At 34.5% G+C, this 22,629-nt stretch overlaps 1 protein-coding gene and 2 non-coding genes across 5 annotated transcripts in view; all 3 read right to left on the reverse strand.

Annotated features, from left to right (window-relative positions):
• CALCR (calcitonin receptor) overlaps positions 1-22,629 on the reverse strand; it is a 150,239-nt gene that overhangs the window by 43,505 nt on the left and 84,105 nt on the right. For all 3 annotated transcript variants that reach the window (NM_001742.4, NM_001164737.3, NM_001164738.2), the window contains 5 exons: positions 18,941-19,017; positions 11,364-11,517; positions 9,568-9,678; positions 4,385-4,497; positions 725-816 (listed from right to left, as the gene is read on the reverse strand). In NM_001742.4, coding sequence (NP_001733.1) covers positions 725-816; positions 4,385-4,497; positions 9,568-9,678; positions 11,364-11,517; positions 18,941-18,991 — 521 coding nt within the window. In that variant the 5' untranslated portion in view covers positions 18,992-19,017. The remainder of the gene's footprint in view (positions 1-724; positions 817-4,384; positions 4,498-9,567; positions 9,679-11,363; positions 11,518-18,940; positions 19,018-22,629) is intronic.
• Positions 14,770-14,865, reverse strand: MIR653 (microRNA 653). Its single transcript, NR_030388.1, has one exon. It is a non-coding gene; the product is annotated as a microRNA 653 (primary transcript).
• On the reverse strand, positions 15,946-16,029 carry MIR489 (microRNA 489). Its single transcript, NR_030164.1, has one exon. It is a non-coding gene; the product is annotated as a microRNA 489 (primary transcript).

The raw sequence follows: 22,629 nt of genomic DNA on the forward strand, positions 1-22,629 counted from the left end.
ATACTTGAGAAATCCAGCTTAGGACAATGTTATGAGTGCTTTATTTTCACTAAAGTTGGTTGTGATGAAAGCATATGTAACAGTTTCTAACTTAAATGTACCATTCCTGTAAAGATCCTATTTTATATTCATGTAAGATGACAAGATAATTTAAAGTATTCAAGTTTTCCTTGTATGTTTTCTCATATTTTGCTTTCAAGCATAATTGTGCACCATAAAACCTAAAGACAAGCATTATTTAAATTAGGTTTTGTAGAAACATGCTCTGATGTGCTTGTTTATTCCTTAGTCTTACATATGCTAGCAAGAAATAATTAGGCAGGGTATATATGGATTTGTGGCTATGGTCTCCAAAAATTAGAGTGGGAGTAAAAGAAGGTGGAGAATCCTCTCCACCACCCTTAATGGTAACTTACCCATGGTAAATGGAACCTTTACCATATTACAACAGTATACTTATGGATTCACAGGACTGTCTTATTTTGGGAAGTCTCAAGATATAGTACTTTTGAAAATGATATAAATTTATCCTGTTCTCCCCAAAGATAGGATTAAAAGCATATTTAAATTCATTTCATTTTTCTTGCTACTTCATGACTCCTAATGTTGCATGTCGCTTGTAATTTGCTGAAGACCCTTCCCCACCTCCACTCTTGCAGAATTCACCATTCGTTTCAGTAACTTAAAGGAGGAAATAAAGAGCAGATGCTGTGAGTGTACTTACCTGAAAAACACGAAAATCCCCAGGGAAATCACTAGGGTGAAAATTGACAAAGAATGACCCACAATAGCCAAATAGTACAGAACATATGCATTCTGGAACAACAAAAAGTAAACAAACAAACAATGAATGAATGATTCATCAGAGAGAAAATCATTTCTATTTCTAAATATATGTAAATCAACAAATGTTTTCCTCCTTTTAAAAACCTACTACAATTATAACAAATATTTCAGATAGTGAAATTAATTTTTAGCTTTACTCATGTCATTTTATGAAAATAAATTGTCATTTTCAAAGAATAAAGTTCCTTGAGATGAAGTACCTCATTCAAAAATATATTTCAGAAGTAGCTTTAAATGCATTAAAAATTATCATCCCTAAGCCCAGTAAGCAATCCTGGTAGTTTTTTAACTTCTGGAATCTTTTAGACAGTGGATACATAATTCTATACCACAGAACTGGCAAAGCAGTAATCGACTTTCCAAGCTGTCCTGACCTACAGAGGGTCCAGAGAGTATGGTGGCAGGTTTCTGTGCCTTTGTTTAAAATGATATCATTAGTATTTAGTTGGTTGAAGCCGAAACCTTTCCCCTTGGCAGCCATTTGATAATTCTTTTTTTTTTTCACGATCATGGTTAATTTTATTTATTCTCCCATAATGTTATGTTGACTCGGAAGAATGTCCTTCTCATAAAATGCATAATGTCATAGCATCTTTTTTCCTAGTAATCACAGTCTTTCCTTTCCTTATAATGTAATTTTATCAACAGAGAAAATAGAGATTGATCCAGTCACCCATCCCTCTCTCTGTCTTCTCTGTCTCTCTGTTTCTCTTTATCTGTTTCTGTGTTTCTGGTCTCTCTCTCTCTCTTTCTCTCTCTTTCACTCTATTTTGACACTAGCTTTTGCATTTTGTACTATTTAGCCAATTTCATCAGCTGTAATTGAAGTAGACTTGAATCTTTTGCAACTAGGGATTTTGTTTTCACTTGTTTTTCTTGGTGAAGCATAATTTGTGTATTATTTTGTAGTTGTACTTTAATCTCTTGGCTTTTGGTCTTAAGTTCCTTCAACAGTTTGTTGGGTCTTGGTATGAATGCAAATGTAGTGTAGATAGGATGAATACCTTCTATGAAGTTCTTTGAATTCCTGGAATAAATGTAGAATTTATATATCCTTGAACATTTTGATTCTTGTCAATTTCCTCAGAAAGAGTCTGGGATTGAAGCCCTAGTCAGCTAAAATGCATCCAAACTATTCAGAGCCCTTTCTTGGTTATGTGCATTATTGTTATCCTGAAATGAACATTCCTTTTCTAGGCCTTAGAATTTCAAAATGGACTAATTAGCTTCTCCTAAGTTGTGCCTGTTGCATCATTTGACCAGGCATTCCATATTTTTGGGGCATTTTCATTGTTGATACCACTCTCTTAATAGCACATTTTACTCTTACAGGAAATGTTAATAAAGTTAGAATAGTTGGTTTATAATTGGAGCTGATAAAATCTTCAGGTAGCTTTCTTGGGAGGGATTTAGGAATCTTATACACACACACACACACACACACACACTCACCTATCTTTTCTCCCAGGAATTCATTTTCTGGCTATTTTTCTAACTTCACTTGTAGACAATATCAGGAGGAGCATTTTCTAAAAGTTCTTCCTTCTAAATAGTTTACTATGTAGAACACTCTTGCCCCTTAATTAATTTGGATATGTATCTGCACCCCCTCTTCTGTCGGTCTTTTAAAAAATCTTTGCATACTTTATTTCTAAGAAAAATTTATATAACTTAATTCATATTCTTTTCAGTTGCTTCCAGAGTACTCCTTTTAAAAACATTTGTTCTTCTGAAATAGAGTTGTCTAAATGTGTAAGATTAAATCAACAACTCATAATTTAGTTGCCATCCTTGTGTCATTCTCAAGGTTGACTTTTTTTTTAATGAATTCTAGGTTGGTTCCTTCAAATTTTAATGTGACTATATTTATATGGAAGATTTGTGGAAAGCATTTTATTTTTTTATTTTTATTTTTATTTTTTCAATATTTTATTTTATTTTATTGTTAATTATTATACTTTAAGTTTTAGGGTACATGTGCACAATGTGCAGGTTAGTTACATATGTACACATGTGACATGCTGGTGCGCTGCACCCACTAACTTGTCATCTAGCATTAGGTATATCTCCCAATGCTATCCCTCACCCCTCCCCCCACCCCACAACAGTCCCCAGAGTGTGATGTTCCCCTTCCTGTGTCCATGTGTTCTCATTGTTCAATTCCCACCTATGAGTGAGAATATGCGGTGTTTGGTTTTTTGTTCTTGCGATAGTTTACTGAGAATGTGAAAAGCATTTTAATCATTATACTAAGTGCCTAGAGAGTAGCATTTCTTCTTTAAATTATTTCATTCTTAGATGTGGCCAGTGTACGTGAGAAGTCCAAAAACAACACTAAGAATGATTTGGACTTGCACTACTTACAACAATCTGGTTAACATGAGTATAATTTTTCTCTGTAACATCATAATCAACACTCATTCGGAAAATTCACTACTCTGTGACATAGCTTATTAATCAGACTTTATTAACAGCTCTCCATTAGGGTGTAGACATGCATCTGATTCTCAGGGTGACTAAACCATTTGTAAAGAGATAACTGGCTGTGGTGCCCTTAGCTTGTGCTTGTGATGAGGTGTCCCTCCTATTCAAGTGGTCCCTAAGCCATATGTTCATCTCGTTTGTTTTTGTTATTTGTTTTGTTTTTAATAAAAGAAAACTTTTCTACACCCTGAAAGCATCTCAACAGCAAACAAAGACACTAATGTGCTTTTAGTTTTCAACTGAATAATTATTTAGTATACAGGCCTATCTTTGACAGAAATAATAGGTTTATGTTAGAGTCAGCAGGGTTGCTTAGAGACGCCCTGCACAGCTAAACATTGACCAACTGTAACTCCTTGTTCTGTAGGGTGAGGAGGCTGGTTGTAGACTTGGTGAATTTTTCAGATTTTTGATACATTTGAGGAAGAAAGATCATCTGTTCCCCACTCGCCATTTGCTTAGATAAATGTTTCTAAGCAGAGATAATATTCAAAATATTTAACATACAGTAAAATGCAAGTACTAACAATTGAGAATGAACTTCCACTGAAAATAATCTAAGCAGCCATATCTGTATTAGTGGACTGATGAGATGCCCTACTTTAGGAGTTCTTTCTATGCTTTATTACAAAACTAAGGTTGTGGCTAACACAGGGGAAGCATGCTATCTTGTGACTTGTGGAAAAATCTGTAGTTTTGAAACTCTTCCAGGAAAAGAGATGTTAGAGAGTCCCTTGAAATGTTGCCTAATTTCTGGCATCATTGGGAATCCTTTCATCTGCTCTATGGACACTTATCCCCCTGCCATAAATGGACTGATTCTGTATGCTCACGGAACTTCAATTGACTCTTGACTCTGAGTGCCAACCAAGAAGTGAAATGTCATTTTCTCTAATTCTACTCTAGAGATTCCTAGAACTTACCAGTTATCATATGATTTCTTTCCACAAAACCTGTTGGCTTCTTTGTGGCAGATATTTTACAGTTATGCGTCCATTTCCTTGTACAAATAATGACATTCTCACTCAATACTGAAACGTGAAAAAGAACCTACCTTCAGTTTCTCAGGAGTGAAAGCATTGCACATAGTATAGTTGGACCAGGTTCGATTGTTTTCAGGATGTTTAAACCAAACACCTTTTTCATCACAGTATTTTGTAACCTTTTCTGTTAATGAAACATAACAGTTATTGCATTAATATCTCAAAATCCCAACAAGGAAAAATAATAAATTAAAGCTTAAAAGCCATTCCAACATATTAATCACTTTATAGAACTTGAATGTGAGTATGTCAGTAGAGACTATCACAAATCATGTATTATACAAAGTGTATTAATATGTATTGTCTCATTTTATCTTTAGCAAAGCCATGTGAAGTAGGCATTGCCATCTTCATTTTACAAATTCAAAGCAGACAGTGAGAGGAGTCATGGAGCTTGAGATTGAACCAGGATTTAGACCCAAAGACATGGATATCGGTCAGACTCCAAAGTGCTACCTATACTCTACCTCATAATTTTTTAACAGACATTAAACTTTTGATTATAGATGGAAACTACTAGAGAAGAACAAGAACATACCTTTCTTTATTTACTTGCAATGTTTTTTCATTAGATTAACTGTATGAAACAGTAATTTTTGGATCAAATGTTCAAATCTTCCCAATCCCATATGGTTAAATCCAATAGAACAAAGAAGTCCAAAACTAAGGGATATATCAAGAGGCCATTTTTCTGCCTCTCAAGAGATTTCATTTGAATCATCTCTCTTCATCCCACAGAAAATATATAGGGATCCAGGCTTCAGCCTTTAATGTTGACTTTTTAAAGTATCTCATAGATGCTAGTTAATGAAATCCCTAACTCAGCTGGATTGGCATATTAAAGATCTCCACCTTCGCTATGGGGGTGCCAGGCACTGTGCTCAGCACTTTGCAGAATTATCTTCTTTAACGTTAATAATGAGTCTTTGAAGTGAATATTGTTCTTCCCATTTTATATATAAGTAAATTTCCCTTCCATAACTAGCAGGTAGAAAGGTCAGGAATCAAATCCGAGTCTACTTGATTCCAAATCTATTGCAGAGCTATTAAGCACTAATTAAGCCTCTTATTTCTGTGGCAATGTGCCAACTGGTCAGAGGAAACAAAACAGGCAAGCCCTTATTGTTAAGATGCAGATGTAGGTGAGAAAATAAGATGATGTAAATGGTACCTGGAAGTTGGATTTGGCATAGAAATAAAAGGTAACACTGGTTTGGCCCCCCCCCCTTTTTTTTTTTTTTTTTGAAATTGATGCTTAGCAAAGAGGAGGAAAGCCTGACATCTTACTATCCCTCCAACCAGCAGGTCAGTGATTCTGGGGCTGCCCACTGAGCTTAAGAGTTCAGCTTACACTAAAATATTTTGGAGGAAAAGGATAAGAAGATTTTCTTTGAGCCCTGAGAAAGAACTTTTTCCAAGTGCTTGCTTTGTGGTGTCTGCTGGTTCCCATCAGGCTTATTATTTTTTCAATTATTTTTGTGTGATATATTCAGTGCTGGTTACAGTATGATAAAGCCTTGCTGCTTTTTTTATTTTAATTTTTTTAGGCAGTGTATATGTATCAGTACAAAGTAAAGTTCCAAACTTGATAGAAATAATAAGTTCTCATGGGGATGACTCATATCTTTGCTGAAATTCACACTAAAATATTAGGCCACCATAGCAACTACAATAATTTTTTAAAATAACATTTGATAACTTAAAATATACCAGACCCTACATCAAGTGCTCCATCTTAAAAATAAATAAGAAAACTTCTTTGTTCTGTATTTTGCTTAATTATTAACTGAGTATATATCTGAGATTCTGGGTAAAGTGCATGAGGCTGGGAAATCACATCAATATATATTGGGAGTAAAAAGTGGTCAGAATGGTGAGATAATATTTATCAAGACACTATTATCAGCAGGATAAACACACTGTAAAACTAGTATAATTGTTAGCAAACAACTAAAATGGCACTGAAATAAAATTAGAATTTGGCTGGATTGTCTAAAAAAAACCTCGCTTTTGTATTATAATACTGGTCAACAATATTTTAATTTGGTACTGGGACTCTAGAAGGTGAAATCTCATAAATGATCAAGGTTATCTACATTCCATTCCAGTGACCTAAAGAATTTTAGATAATGTTGTTAGCTACAAGATAATATTTAAATTCTAACCTCTGAATTGGCCAAGCAACTGAAAGAAAAAATCAGGTTGAATTAAATAACATAGAAATAATGAACAAGTAAACACTAAAATGAATGTACTTGCCAAATTTAATCTGAGTTATTCAGATACTCTCCAGTTCTTCAAAGCACCCATTCGATGTGTTTATTGTCTGAGAGATCAAATAGCAAGCCTAGATTGGTATAATATGCAGGGAGATTTTGCAAGTGTATTTGGAATCTTCACAAAATTTTAATCTTTGATCATTTCTCAGGGAAAATATTTTTGAAGCATTTTTCTATGTTAACAAAGGCAAAGCATTGTTGTACGTATAGATAATGCTTTTATAGATGGCTATGTTCTTTTTTAGCACAGGATGTGGAAATCAGAATCATATGGTAATATTTGAAGAACACTGCTATTGTTTAAAAGGCTAAGGAAATAACATACTAAAGAAAAGAGAAACTTATTGGGCTGAAAAATCACTGAGATCTGATAATATTTAAAATAATTTTCTATTAGTAGTTTTGGTTACTCAATCTGCTAAGAGCTAGTAAAAAAATCCTTTCAACTTGGCAATTTTTAGGTATAATTCATCATTTTTTATTGTATGACCAAAACAGGTCTTATTGAACTAAATGCAAGATTTAAACTGCAGGTTATAGAGTTATTTGTATGTTTAATTTTTATTTAAAATGGATGAAAAAACATTTTTTCAAGCAAAAGATGTTTTCAAGCAACCTATTAGAATCATTACTGCTTCATGTAAATCTGTTACAAAGTTAAATAAGAAAACTTAAAACTGTAAATTTACTGAGATAGCCACTAGACAAACCCTATTTAAAGCATCTCTATTGGACATTAACAACATGTGAAAAAGGATTAGCACTAATCAGCACAAAAAATTGATGTTGAAAATTTGTCGATTATTTTGCTAATGTTATTTGTCAATGACAACCCTTCCAAGCTTACTTGCAATTTTTAAAAGTGGCCACAATTTATATTTATTAGATTGCAGAAAGTAGTTTTTTTTTTAAATAAAATGAATGTAATTTGGTTTCAATGAAGTTATGCAGCCAGGTATGGGAAAATATATTGTATGCAGAGAGATACTACTCTTAAAGAAGGTCATTCCACTCATGAACAAGGCCATAGCAAATGGTATTTTTTGTTTTGTTTTAACTAAAGTCTGGATCGAGTCATTTCTTGGTTTTAACTGTTATAACTATCAAGAATTTGTCCTACTTCACCTGATGAGTCTTTCAATACTTGAAGAAAGGATTATGTTTACTCTGGGACTTCCCTTTAGAAACCAAACACCCCCATTATTCACTCCCCACAGATTTTCCGCTAACAGCCTGGAGACTCTCCACATGTGCTTTGATAATTGATATTTCTCTCTAAAATACTCTATGTGTGGACTGACCCATGAAAAGTACAATGTGCTTCTCTCACTCCAGATTCACGCAGGGGAACTACTTGCAGATTCCGAGGTCCTGTCCCTAGAGATTCAAATTCTATTGATCTGGACAGGGGTCAGGCATCTGCATTTTTCATAAGCTCACAATTTTTTTTTTCATTTTGTGAAAGGGCATCTGGGTTGAGAATCACCGTCCCAAACCATATTTGGACCATTTAATGGCTCTGTGCCATTAAAATTGTTTGTTTGTCTTCAAGTGCAGGGCTGTAAATGCTTCCTTGTTAAATTTTGCTTTTTACATTCCAGCATATTCCTTCAGAATGTCAGCCTCTTTTGAATTTCAATACAGTTCTTCACTCTTTCACTATCTTTTACCAAGTACTTTTTCCAAAGTGAAACAAACCTCTGGCATTTCATTAATGTGTTTTGTACATCATTAAGATGTAAGCTTTAGGTCAATAAGAAAATCCTGAAGAATTTAAGTTTGGTATGTGTGTGTATGTGTATATATATATTATGTTATGTATATGTTTATAATTTAAGTTTGGAATATATGTATATATTTCAGATACACTTTTAAAATGAATTTATCCTGCAGCTGAGAGGTTTCTGTATAAGAACCAGGCTGAAAAGATGGATCGATGCCTGTAAATCTCTGATTTTTTTATCAAAACCTTGCCTTGTAGTCACTATTTATATCCACTTTGGCAAGAGCCCCATTGTTACTTTGGAACTGGCCTAGTAGCCTCAATTGCACAACAGCTCTTCGTGCCAATCAAGTAACTTCTAATGTAGTTGTCAAATCAAGATTAATGAAGCATCATTCATTGGGAAGAGTCAATAAGGGCCTGAAGGATTATCATCAAATAGCATTTAGTTAGAGATTCCAGGAATGTAGCTGATTTAGGGCACAGCACAAAGCCCTTTCTTTCTTCACATCCCAACTTTTCCATCACAATGGGAATTCCCAGAAGTGGCTGGCCTGCACTGGTTTTAAAAGAGGTCCTCTGCAATTCCACTTCCATTATCTCTGCCTTACTGAGGTGAAATTTTGTTTTCAGGGACAGATTAGATCTTTCACTCTGGAAGGAAGCACAAAAAGCATTTTTCTAACATTGTTTCAGGGGTAGACTCATTTTTCTTCTTTAATTGGGATTCTAGAGCCACTTAACCCCTGTAGGCTCAGGCTCACTTTACTCTTGGGAACAAATTTCACCCATTAACAGGGACCTATATGTTGTGCCCATAGCTAATCCATTTAGTTTCAGCATCTGGGTCTCCTTCATAATTAAGATTTCTACCCCTTTTTCAGTGAGACAATTGAAAAATTTTTAAAACTCACATTTAAATAAAACTATTCACAGAGTTTTAGAAAAGCTATTTTTATAAACCAGAATTTAATACCAACACATATAACTGACCAGCAACATGACTTAAAAAAAAGGACAGCTTGTAATATTTGTACAACTAAGAAGTATTTCAATTAAGGAAACACTTCAGAAGTTGCTAAAATGTGGAGTATGATTAGGTGGGTACATTTTGTATCTGATTTTCTTCTCAAAACCATGAAAACTCTAAAAGCTTCATAGCAAGAACATAAAATGAAAATAAACACTCTACCTGATGGATCAAAATCCGGAAAATAATCTGGGCAGAACTGATAGGACAATACTCCAGCCGGTGTGTCATCCCAGCACAGCCATCCATCCCAGGTGCGATTGCAATATGGACCTGGCCATTTAGAAGGAAATTGATATTGAAGCCTTGTGGATTTAACTAAATGAGAAGATTGATCCCAAGACGATATTACAAGTAGCTGAGCTCACTACACCAGTCATAACCAACCACATTTCAAACAAGCCAAGTCATTTATTTTGGAAATAAAGTTTCAAATAGGCTTAGCATATCTGTGACCAAATTATCTCATTGGATGACAAGCAGGGTTCTATTTCTACTTTGTAAAAGGTTCCAAAGTTGAGTGCATCAAAAAAGCAAATGCCCCAAAGACTGCAAGACCCTCTCTCAAAAAAAAAAAAAAAAAAAAAAAAAAAAAAAAAATTCTACCTAAAACCATGAAGATTTACTTCTATAAAGGTATGTATTCAAAAGAATCAGATCCAGGCTTTCAAGAAAGCTCTCAAAAATTATTTAAAAAATGAAAAGAGCTCTCAGAAAACCCCAAAAATATCAGTTCTGTGTTTTTATTGTCTCACTGGCTTCAACGAAATTGTTTCTCCTTTGGTCAGAGTTATGTCTAATGCCTGTTCAGTTCTTGATAAACACTGAAATTACTGCAGACAGAAGAATAATATGTATCTGCCTTTCAGTTGACTTGATGTTTTTGTTTAAAGGAAAATGGTAAAAATAAGAACTACAAACTAAAACTTGAACTATTTGAAAGCAAAGAATGTGCAGTAACAGAGTATATTTTACCATTTTTTTCCCTACCAAGTTGGGTTGTCTTAAAATGTACATGGTAGTAGGCCAGATGCAGTGTCTCACGCCTGTAATCCTAGCACTTTGGGAACCTCTCCTGAGCCCAGGAGTTGGAGACCAGCATGGACAACATGGCAAAACCCCATCTCTACAAAAAAATACAAAAATTTGCTGGGCATGGTGGCATGCACCTGTAGTCCCAACTGCTCAGGAGGCTAAAGTGGGAGGATCGTCCTGGGCGAGAGAGTGAGACCCTGTCTTAAATATATATATATATATATATATATAGTAAAAGATCTTATTGAATCTTTTCAAATGCCTCAGGGGACAAGTAGGAGAATTTAAAGGGATGTTGCAATGAGCTTGCCCATCACATCTCCCCTTTTGTTTTTCTATGGGTCCTCTACAGCTAATAGAATATGTTTAGACCTGAAAATATCTGGGCAGTCACATACAGCCATTCTAGAGAAGCTGGTAGATAAACAATGTCTGGCTAGGAGGTACCTTTTTGTAATTCTCCTGGAAAGTGGGGCCAGAAAGTGTGGAAGAATAGTATGGGTTGCCAACCAATTGACAGTTAAAGGGAAGATACTACCTAATTAATCCAAGCAAGATAGGGTTTGATAGGGTCCACCTCAGGCAAATTCTCTGCCCTCTATTTTCCAATTCCCTTTCCTGTCATTTTGTACATCCCCTCCCTCACTCGGTCCTTTACTGTTCCGGCTCACCAGGTGTGAATACTGAATTATTGCGGTAATTTTATCATGAGGGCAGATGTTAGCCAAATTGCAGTCAGATGAACTTGGGCAAAGAAATTAGGCATATGCACTGCATGAAATACACAAACATACCATAGTGTGAAAACTGCTGTGAAAACTGCTGGCATATTAAATTAAAATTATTCAACACATATTTAACCACAAAAGAAAATGTCTGTAATGGTGTTTCAAACATATGTTCATATATATCCTTCTCTTTACCTTCTCCTTGGTATGCGGGTAACTGCTGCATTCGGTCATAGCATTTGTACTGTGCATCCATCATCTTCTTTCGTCCTACGACGTAAAGAAATGGCTTGGGCTCTATTGTTGGATAGGTTTGATTTGAAAAGGCAGGAAGAATTGGGGTTGGGTGCTGTATTAAAAAGAAAAATCAGTTACTTATAGACAGGAGGAATGGGTGAGCACAAATAAATGAGACAATGAAAAAGTTTGAAAACATTTATTTTTGCTCTCTAAGCAATACTTATTCATGGTCTCTATGTACAGTTTTTTTCATATATATTACAAAAAATGTTTTCACATTTCATCTACAAATTCTACTGGCACATTTTACATTTGCATTAGTTTCCATTTACTATTGAAAATGGATAACACCTACACACTCATATACCTCTTTATCAGCTAGGATTGTTTTAACTGTATTATGATTCTAAAGTTTAGAAGTAAACAAAACAAATAATCTAATTTCCAAAAAATACAAATATGAAATCAACTTTGCCTTACTCTTAAGAATCATGAATCATGTTATTAAAAAATAGACATAGTTCAATAAATATGCTTTTTTATTTGATTCTTTCAGCTAAATTTTATTGGTGCTGTGTACACTGCCAGAAATTTATCCCATCTATTCCATGGAACAAACAAAATATGTTTTCTGCTCCTCATAATTGACCATAATCTCCTTAAATTGGTTTCAACAGCAGATGACCTGTACAGGGCAATTCATGTTCACTAATGAAAAATCAATGTATTTCTTAGATATTTATCTCAGCACATTTGCATTTTGGTACAGATTGACAATAGTTTTTTTCAGTTTCAGTTAATCATCACCATCACAAGCCTCTCTTTTTCAAAGGTAATGTGGGTGTTTGAAAAGATCACTCTGTCACACTGTTCTTCCTAACTTGTGTTTATAAAGATTTCAATTTCTTTTGTGGCTATGACCAATGTTTTTAGTGGTGTTGGAATCTGCGAATTTTTAATATCCATGTTCTGCATAGAGATTTTTTTTTCTTTTTTTGAGGAGACCTAAAAACATCAGCCTGCACTGACTTTCCTTTTTCTAAATTTAGGAATGCTGCTTAATTTCTATCATACCCGTTGAAATTTCAATTCTAAGATTGAAGTTTCTCCAATTGTATTGATGGCAGAAGTGGTGTTATGTACTCTTCTATATGTGCTAGTTTCTAAACAAAACTCATCCCTATTAAGTTGACATGTATATTCCTGGCTCTTCATGGTGAATCCTCACTGTTTTCCATGTGTGTCATTGTATATGTCCTACACGACAGCACATCACTAACTGCTAAGCTGTCCAGCACAGAATCCAATCAAAATTCAGAGTTTGGAGAGAGTAGGGAGCAAAAATATTCAGGATGGCTACAGATACAAGGTAGAATTTGAATTGTATCTTGAGTGTGGGAAGTTTCTGCATAGGCACAAGGGGGGGTCGAGAAGCCTTTTGGGATGGAGGGACCTTTCCCACAAAAGTCTGGAGGTTGGAAATGACATGCATGAGCCACTGTGAGAAAACCATCTTGCCTGAAGGGGAGCATATTTGAGGGTAAGAAGGTCAGGACTTTGCTTTCAAGACTGCATTATCTGAATCTTCAGATAACAAAAAAAGAGTTAAAACTTGTTTTGTCACTTTGAGCAGGTTAGCAACCTCTCACTAGATCTGTTTCCTCAACCTAGGAAACGTAAAATAAGAAGAGCGGTAAGAATAATATTTATCATCTGTCATGTTGTGAGGATGAACAAGACAATAAACACCAAGTGTCAGGGACATGAAAGGTTCAAAACATTTTAGCTAATATTGTTAAAACATGGTATATAACATAATATATATGATAAAGATGTTTTGTAGATTTTTGATCAGTGAAGGTTGTGAAAGGAGAATTTTTAGTAAAATTCATGCAGCAGGCATCAGATGTCCACAGGTTAAAGTTGCGGGGTGGGGTGGGGGCAGCCAGGAAGTTGAAGGCCTGGCTGGACTAGATCAGTCCATGTTGGAACAAGAAAGTACCACTCTTAGCACCTTCTCAATAATAAAAACATGAAGGCATATTTGAATACAAGGAATGGGAAACAGTAATAGTCAAATAGCCCAGATAATTAGCCTAGATATTTGGGGAAAAAAATAGTTCCCAAGAAAGGGAAGATGCTGGGAAAGGAAAACCTTATTAGGGGGAACTTCTCCCCCTTGGTAAGTAAGTCCTATTTTGGGTTAGATTTGGAGATGGTAGCAAGCCATCCTAGTGGAAATATCTTGCAAAGAGAAGAGGGTGAATACTTATCATTATTATAACATTACTGTGATAACTTCAAATGGACACCAATTGTGAATAAGGTTGACACTACTCTTTAAACATTTTGTTGATTTCTAATTTTAATGTCTCTTGAATTTATGTCAGAAGAGAAAGTAATGAACCCATAAAAATGATTATAACTGTGCAAATCCTTTACCAGTGTAGCTGAACACAATTCTTTTGATATATGACACTTTCCCCACTGGTCTTCAGATCAGTCAGCAAATATTGATCAAACTTGATGAGCCCAACATTGTGCCAGATGCTGAGGATACAGTGCTGAATAAAATAAGTGTAGACTGTGCTCTCATAGAGCTTACAGTCTGGCAAGATGGACCAACACTATAAAATATATTTCTGATACTTGAAATTATGAACAATAAAGAATCATCAGTCATAAAATTCTTAGATATTCCTAATGGAATTGGAACACGATTTGCAAAATTTTTAAAAAAGAGTAATTTGAAGGGATTCCATGTTGAGGTTTCTTTTTTTAGTTTATTACTCAACTTTTGTATGAATATGTGTGTTTTAAAAATTCAATTACATATTAGGCAACCATCAAAACAAGAATGGATCATGATGCCTTCACAATAGAGATATTAATTATTGGTTCAACTTATACATTTATTTTAGATTCTTCTTTTGTGGCTCTAAAATCTTCAGTTAATATGAGAATGATCATTTGATGTATTATTAATTTCTGGACCATTTTCTCACCATCTTCAAATCGAATTAGAAGATGGAACATGATGTCATATATAAATCTTATCTGTCACTTGTATTAGATATGCTAAACACTGGGAAGTATTTTGTTTAAATCTGGCTTTCTTCCCAAAAGTAACATTCTGAATTCTCTTTTTATATGGCTGACAACCAACCAAGAGATTTTCTTGCTCTAGTTGGAAATTCATGGAAACCATAGGCAAATAGTATGTCCGAGGATAACAAGTAGAAAACCCTATGCTTGTATTTTCAATTATATTTTTATTTGCTTTAATGCAGTTTTAACATCAGTAACAGTGGAAATACGACAATCTGTATACGAGTAGTTATAATTCATGCTGATGAAAGTAGCTTCCATCTTATCATTCTTGCAATATTGAAACAAACTCCAGTGAACTTGTTTGAAGCTGGTTCAGTAGAGATTGTTTCAACACTGAAGGAATGAAAAATTAGAACCTCTGTTGTCAGATGAGCAGTAATAATCTGCATCAGTTCCTGGTCTGGTTCATATTTGAGCACTGAAGATGGAATTTTCCCAACAGTAGATGAATGTCTCAGTGGCCTTCTTCCTAAAATAACATACCCATTGGGGCATTACGTTTATACATACAGTCATCCCTTGGTATACTCAGGGGATTGGTTGCAGGACCTCCTGTGGATACCAAAATCTGAGGATGCTTAGGTACTTCATATAAAATGGTGTAGTATTTGCATATGTGGATACCAAAATCTGAGGATGCTTAGGTCCTTCATATAAAATGGTGTAGTATTTGCATATAACCTATGTACATCCTCCTGTATTATTTAAATCATCCCCAGATTATTTATACCTAGTACAATGTAAATATGATGTAAATAGTTGTTATACTGTATTATTTAGGAAATAATAAAAAGAAAAATAGTCTGTATGTTTACAATACAATTTTTTCCTGAATATTTTCTATCCAAGATTGGTTCAATCTATGGATGTACAACCCATGGATACAGAGGGCTGACTGTATAGATAGATAGATAGATAGATAGATAGATAGATAGATAGATAGATAGACAGACAGATAGATAGATATAAACATATAAATATATGTATATGTATGATTTTATGTATATTATATATATATAATTACAATCATGGAATTACTACTGCTTAAAAATAACACATATACAAATTTCATAAAGTTTATTAAATGTTAAACTTTTGCTGATAATTTTATACAAATAAGAATTGCTGGGAAGGTGGTATCATTTTCAGCAATACAGAGACAAAATAAAACCAGTAGTGATTGGATGAAACTACCAAACAATGTAAGAGACTTCAAATATCCTACTTATTATAAGTGTTATGTCTATACTACTTATTTCAGGGGGTTAAATAAAAATATGATTATATGTTCACATTCAGATAGAAATGAGATATTAAGGGCATATTGTTTTTCTGAATAAACATCAGTTTTCAAAGCTTTGCATATAAACCATCTTACATGATTTTTCAACATACAAACAAACAAAACTCTTAATTGTTGTCCCATGTAGCAGTTTAGCTGCCGTATATGTGATGTCACTCCTAAAGGTTCAAGTAAATGGCGTCACACATACGACCACCAAGCTGCCACCAACAGCAGTAGTCAGCAGCCCAAACATCATCAGTTTTTTTCAGTCGACAAATACTTTGAGTGCCTCTCACATGTCAGGCACTCTTCTAGGTTCTGGAAATTCAGCAGTGAACCAAACTGGCAAGCCACCTGCTCTCATAGAGCTTACATTCTTGATTTTATCCACACTAATCATGGAATCCACAGGAAAGGAATCTGATTTGAAATGGTCATATGCTTATGCAATTCCTACTGTGATGTAGGACAGTCAGTTTGCTTTTGGGTTACAGGCAGTTTCTAGAAGTACAGAGACAGTTACAGAGCTGTTCTTCATGGAACTTTGAGAAATGGTCCATCTCTGCAATAGTTCAAGCCCACTGAGTGTATGGACCCAAGCTGCTGTGCTGAAGGGAGAGCTTCCTATTGATTGCCACATGCAAAACTACTCTAAAAAGTATGTAAACCTAGAATCCACAAACTGATGCAACCAATGAGATTTTCATGTCACCATCCTTAATGTTGATAATGTATATAATTATTTTTGCTTTTCAGTTACTTACACATTTCAAAATAAGAAAGGACAAAGCACACTGTTGTAAAAAGTGTTAGCCCTGGTTTTCCCAGGTAAGATCAGATGCCTGGCTGGTGTACTGTGTAATTCTACTTACATTATATAAACAACGAAACTGCATATATCATAAATTCAAAGCAAATAGGTGAACATAGATAAGTAAACAAGTAACAATAACACCTGCTCTGAAGAACCTAATTTTTATGTCTTTGTTATTACCATTGGCTTTGTTGTCATCAGCATCGTCACTGGCATCTTTTTCTGAGAGCTCACTGTATACCAACTGCTGCTCTAAGCTTACTGTATACCTCGCAGGAGGGAGAGGAATTGAGTGGGTGGTTATGGTTAATGGAAAGAGGCTAATTGAAGGTGGTGACCCAAACTGAGACTTTAAAACCTATATGGAAATCGAGTTGATAGAGTTCAATAGTTAGTGTATTTTCACAACAATCTATTGTCTAAAAAGTAATATTTCGGATTAATTAGGAACATTGTCATTAAAATTTTTTTTCTCTGAGAAGTGTCAGTGTGAACATAATAAACGTTTTGAAGAAAATGGACATATCAAATTTTGTTTTATGGACAAATCCTCCAAATCAAATATATAATCCAAATACAGAGAGAGAAGCAAATTTCTCTCTGTCACAGCAAAGAGAGCACAAACCCATTTAAGTGCCCTGTTCAGTTATGCTTGCTGGTCAAGAGGTGCCCACAAGCCATAAAATGTTTCTGTCCATGGCTCATGCAAAGATGTGCATTTTTTTCAATATTTAAATTATAGACTACATTAGTAAAAGTTTTGAATAAAAATGACCTACGTTGCTTTTTGAACACACTACAAATTTTCTAAAGCCTTTGTAATAAAAAAGGTAATTAGATAATCTTCAAACAATTTTGTTAGTATTTAGTTCTTTCTTTAGTTTTTCTTCTGTCATGTTCAATATAATTATTTATGAAGCATGATTATTCAAAAATATTCACATATACCAGATCACTTAGGATTTCATTTGAGCTATGAAAAATAACAATATCAATAATATATAGCAATATTTTTACATCCATAGAAGACCACATAAGGCCTGGGTATTTACTGGCAAATTAAAATATTCTATTAGTTTCCATAGTAGTCTTGTTTAGTGTTTTTATTATATTTCCAGTGACATAAAGAAACCTGCATTTCCAAATACTAATTACTTTTAGAAAATTTTACTGTAATTTATCTAAAGAAATATTTAATAGGATAAAATGATAAGACAAACTGACAATAAAATAAGTTATACTCATTATCCAAATAGGTGCAAAAGGGTTGCATTAATAGTCATTCCCATACACCATTTATTTGATGTACAATATTACAAAATAAAAATTGCCTTACAAATTAAATTAACATTTATGAAATACTAGCAATATTTTTTTCTTGAATAATATAAAGACAAACAGTTTAGACAGACTTGTAGGCCTATAACTACACATTAATAAACAATGGAAATCCTCGAACCCTATGCAAGCTTTGTGTGGGTCAGTATGACAGTATGAGATATTGAGTGATCTTTGCTGCCAACTGTAATTTATTAGCAAATGTTACTCTGATGTGACAGAAAGGATAAGAAGCAAGGCAGCTCCACATTGATTTACGTAAAATTTACTCATCTCCCATTCATGTGCTATTGAAGCTGATGTGATGGTAGGTTAACAATGTTGACACAAATAATAGGCATTGATAGTGTTCTCTAAGATGATTATATTTCCGATTACTTGCTAAATCTTTTAGGAATAAAACAATATAGAATTACACAAACTGAACATAATTTAAAAGATTGGAGAAAGAGTTATAGAATAATAGTGGTATATAAAGACTTGAAGTTTCCATAGTCAGTTTTTGATGAAAAATACATTTGAAATCAATAGCCAGACTGAAAGAGTTCAGAAGTTTTAAAAGAATTGAACAGCCCAGATGTTTTAAAAGGATTGAACAGCCCAGAAACTATCATTCAAATCATAGTTTTGAACTAAGATTCAAAACATAGTTTTTTCAACATGAAAACATTTTACCTGAGAATATTATTTACCAACTATGTTAATTTCTAAGATAATATGGAGATGTCTAAAATTAATGCTAAAGTTTTGTAAACAAAACTCAAATTTCTGGGTAGACCACAAACACTAATTTAAATTAGAGACAGTTCAGAGGAGAGATTTGTTAACAAAATATTAAGCAAAATAATGGCTTTGAGGAACTTAGTTTCGGCTTCTGGAGACCAATGCCTACCCTTGCAAATACTAATTAAATCACACTCAAAACATTCCTCCTTATTCAGCATTCTTCATTAGCATGGCTTTGAATACTTTTGTTTTACTTACATTTAGAAGAAGAAACAGTGCCAAGCACCGGCTTGTAAATGTGAACCTCATTTTTGATTTTTGAAGATCTCTTTGTCCTAGAAAAATATAAAAGCAACAAAGACTAAAATTAATATATCTCTAATATTGGCTATGGCATTTCATTTTCATTTTTTCTATTTGACTTAAAGAGGATCAACATCCCAAGACACCCTAAAAAACACACGTAAGAAAAAACAGTATGCTTGTGATGCAAATGCAGTGAAGATTCCATTGCTTTTCCTGTCAACTAGATTGTTATACCTGAGGCCCTCCTATTAAGAAATTCTGGCACTACCTTTGCATATTAGGACAGAAATAAAGACATTCCAAGAGAGCAAGAGCAACCCATGTCAGCTTCAGTTAACATGTGTCATTGATAGAGCTGCTGAAAATTGCAATGAAGATGTCCACCAAGAAGTCACCTCACTGGACATGAACAAATAAAATCTGTAATTTGTGAAAGATTAATCATCATGCCCTCTAGGTAGTCTAAGGCCAACTCTAAAAGTAGCCTTATTTAAAGCTTTGAGTAATTTTCTTTCCTATAAATGTTTCTTTAAGCTTCAAGTTGCTAGTAAGAACAAATTTCTTCCATAGCAATGATTGAGCATGTCATTTAACAGCTCACCATTCATACTGAAGAGCATAATCATCCAAACAGGCTGCTTAGTCACAAATATCAAATGGTTTTTCATGGCTCTGCAGATAATTTTACACAAGAAAACTTAACAAAGGGTTAAACAGTTGAAAAATACATATATTTCTTTTCATCAGTGGGAGTTGTGTGAAACCTACATTCCAACTAGGGGTGAGTGGTTATGACTGTATCTTAACTGGTAAGTTCCTGTTGCACTATATCTACTGTATTACCCATAGAATTTACCTATCCTTTATCCAGGAGAACTTCCCCAACATAGCAAGACTGGCCAACATGCAAATTCAGGAAATACAGAGAACACCACTAAGATATTTCATGAGAAGATCAACCCCAAGACACATAATCATCAGATTCTCCAAGGTTGAAATGAATGAAAAAATATTAAGGGCAGCCAGAGAGAAAGGCAAAGTAACCTACAAAGCAAAGCCCTTCAGACTAACAGAAGACCTCTCAACAGAAACTCTACAAGCTAGAAGAGATTGGAGGCCAATATTCAACATTCTTAAAGAAAAGAATTTTCAACCCAGAATTTAATATTCAGCCAAACTAAGCTTCATAAGCGAAGAAGAAATAAAATCATTTCTGGGCAAGCAAATGCTGAGAGATTTTGTTACCATTTGGTCTGCCTTGCAAGAGCTCCTGAAAGAAGCACTAAATATGGAAAGGAAAAACCAGTACCAGCCACTGCAAAAACACACCAAAATATAAAACCAATGGCACTATGTAGAAACTGCATCAACTGTTGTGCAAAATAACCAGATAGCATCATGATGATGGATCAAATTCACACATAAGAATGCTAACCTTAAATGTAAATGGGCTAAATGCCCCAATTAAAAGACACAGACTGGCAAATTGAATAAAAAGTCAGGACCCATTGATGTGCTATATTCAGGAGATCCATTTCATGTGCAAAGACACACATAGGTTCAAAACAAAGGGATGGAGGAAAATTTACCAAGCAAATGGAAAGAAAAAAAAAAAAAAAAAAAGCATGGGTTGCAATCCTAGTCTCTGACAAAACAGACTTTAAACCAACAAGATAAAAAAAAAGACAAAGAAGGCCTTGCATGATGGTAAAGGGAACAGTTCAACAAGAGCTAACTACTCTAAATATATATGCACCCTATACAGGAGCACCCAGATTCATAAAATAAGTTCTTAGAGACTTACAAAGATACTCAGACTCCCACACAATAATAGTGGGAGACTTTAACATTCTACTACCAATATTAGAGAGATCAATGAGACAGAAAATTAGCAAGGATATTCAGGGCTTGAACTCAGCTCTGTATCAAGTGGACCTAATAGACATCTACAGAACTCTCCAACCCAAATCAACAGAATATACATTCTTCTCAGTACCACATGGAACTTATTCTAAAATCGACCACATAATTGGAAGTAAAACATTCCTCAGCAAAAGCAAAAGAACTAAAATCATAACAAACAGTCTCTCAGACCACAATGCAATCAAATTAGAACTCAGGACTAAAAAACACATTCAAAACCACACAATTACATGGAAACTGAACAACCTGCTCCCAAGTGACTCCTGGGTAAATAATGAAATTCAGGCAGAAATCAAGAAGTTCTTGGAAACCAATGAGAACAAAGAGACAATGTACCAGAATCTCTGGGACACAGTTAAAGCAGTGTTAAGAGGGAAATTTATAGCACTAAATGCACACATCACAAAGCTGCAAAGATCTCAAATCGACACCCTAATATCACAATTAAAAGAGCTAGAGAGGCAAAAGCAAACTAATCCAAAAGCTAGCATAAAACAAGAAATAACTAAGAGCAGAGCAGAACTGAAGGACATAGAAACCCAAAAAACCCTCCAAAAAAATCAATAAAACCAGGAGCTGGTTTTTTAAAAAAATTTAAAAAATAGATAAGCCACTAGCTAGACTAATAAAGAAGAAAAGAGAGAAGCACCAAATAGACACAATAAAATATGAAAAAGGGGGTATCATCACTGACCCCACAGAAATACAAATTACCATCAGAGAATACTGTAAACACCTCTACACAAATAAACTAGAAAATCTAGAAGAAATTGATAAATTCCTGGTAACCTCCCAAGACTAAACCAGGAAGAAGTTGGAGCCCTGAATAGACCAATAGCAAGTTCTGAAATTGAGGCAGTAATTAATGGCCTACCAACCAAAAAATGTCCAGGACCAAATGGATCCACAGCTGAATTCTACCAGAGTTACAAAGAGGAGCTGGTACCATTTCTTCTGAAACTATTCTGAAGAATTGAAAAGGAGGGACTCCTCCCTAATTCATTTTATGAAGCCAGCATCATCCTGATACCAAATCCGGGCAGAGACACAACAAAAGAAGAACACTTCAGGCCAATATCCCTGATGAGCATTGATGCAAAAATCCTCAATAAAATACTGGCAAACTGAATCCAGGAGGACATCAAAAAACGTATCCACCATGATCAAGTCGGCTTCATCCTGAGATGCAAGTCTGGTTCAACATACGCAAATCAATAAATGTAATCCGTCACATAAACAGAACCCAAGACAAAAACCACATGATTATCTCAATAGATGCAGAAAAGGCCTTTGATAAAAGGCAACATCCCTTTATGTTAAAAACTTCAATAGACTAGGTATTGATGGAACATATCTCAAAATAAGAGCTATTTATGACAAATCCACAGCCAATATCACATTGAATGGGGATAATTGAAAGCATTCCCTTTGAAAACCAGCATAGACAAGAATACCCTCTCTCACTGCTCCTATTCAACATGGTATTGGAAATTCTGGCCAGGGCAATAATCAGGCAAGAGAAATAAATGAAGGGTATTCAAATAGGAATAGAGGAAGTCAAATTGTCTGTGTTTGCAGACAACATGGTTTTATATTTAGAATACCCCATCATCTCAGCCCCAAAACTCCTTAAGCTGAGAAGTAACTTCAGCAAAGTCGCAGGATAAAAAATCAATGTGCAAAAATTACAAGCATTCCTTTAATCCAACAATAGACAA

The sequence above is a fragment of the Homo sapiens genome, chromosome 7, assembly GCF_000001405.40.
Source record: "Homo sapiens chromosome 7, GRCh38.p14 Primary Assembly".
Taxonomy (NCBI): domain Eukaryota; kingdom Metazoa; phylum Chordata; class Mammalia; order Primates; family Hominidae; genus Homo; species Homo sapiens.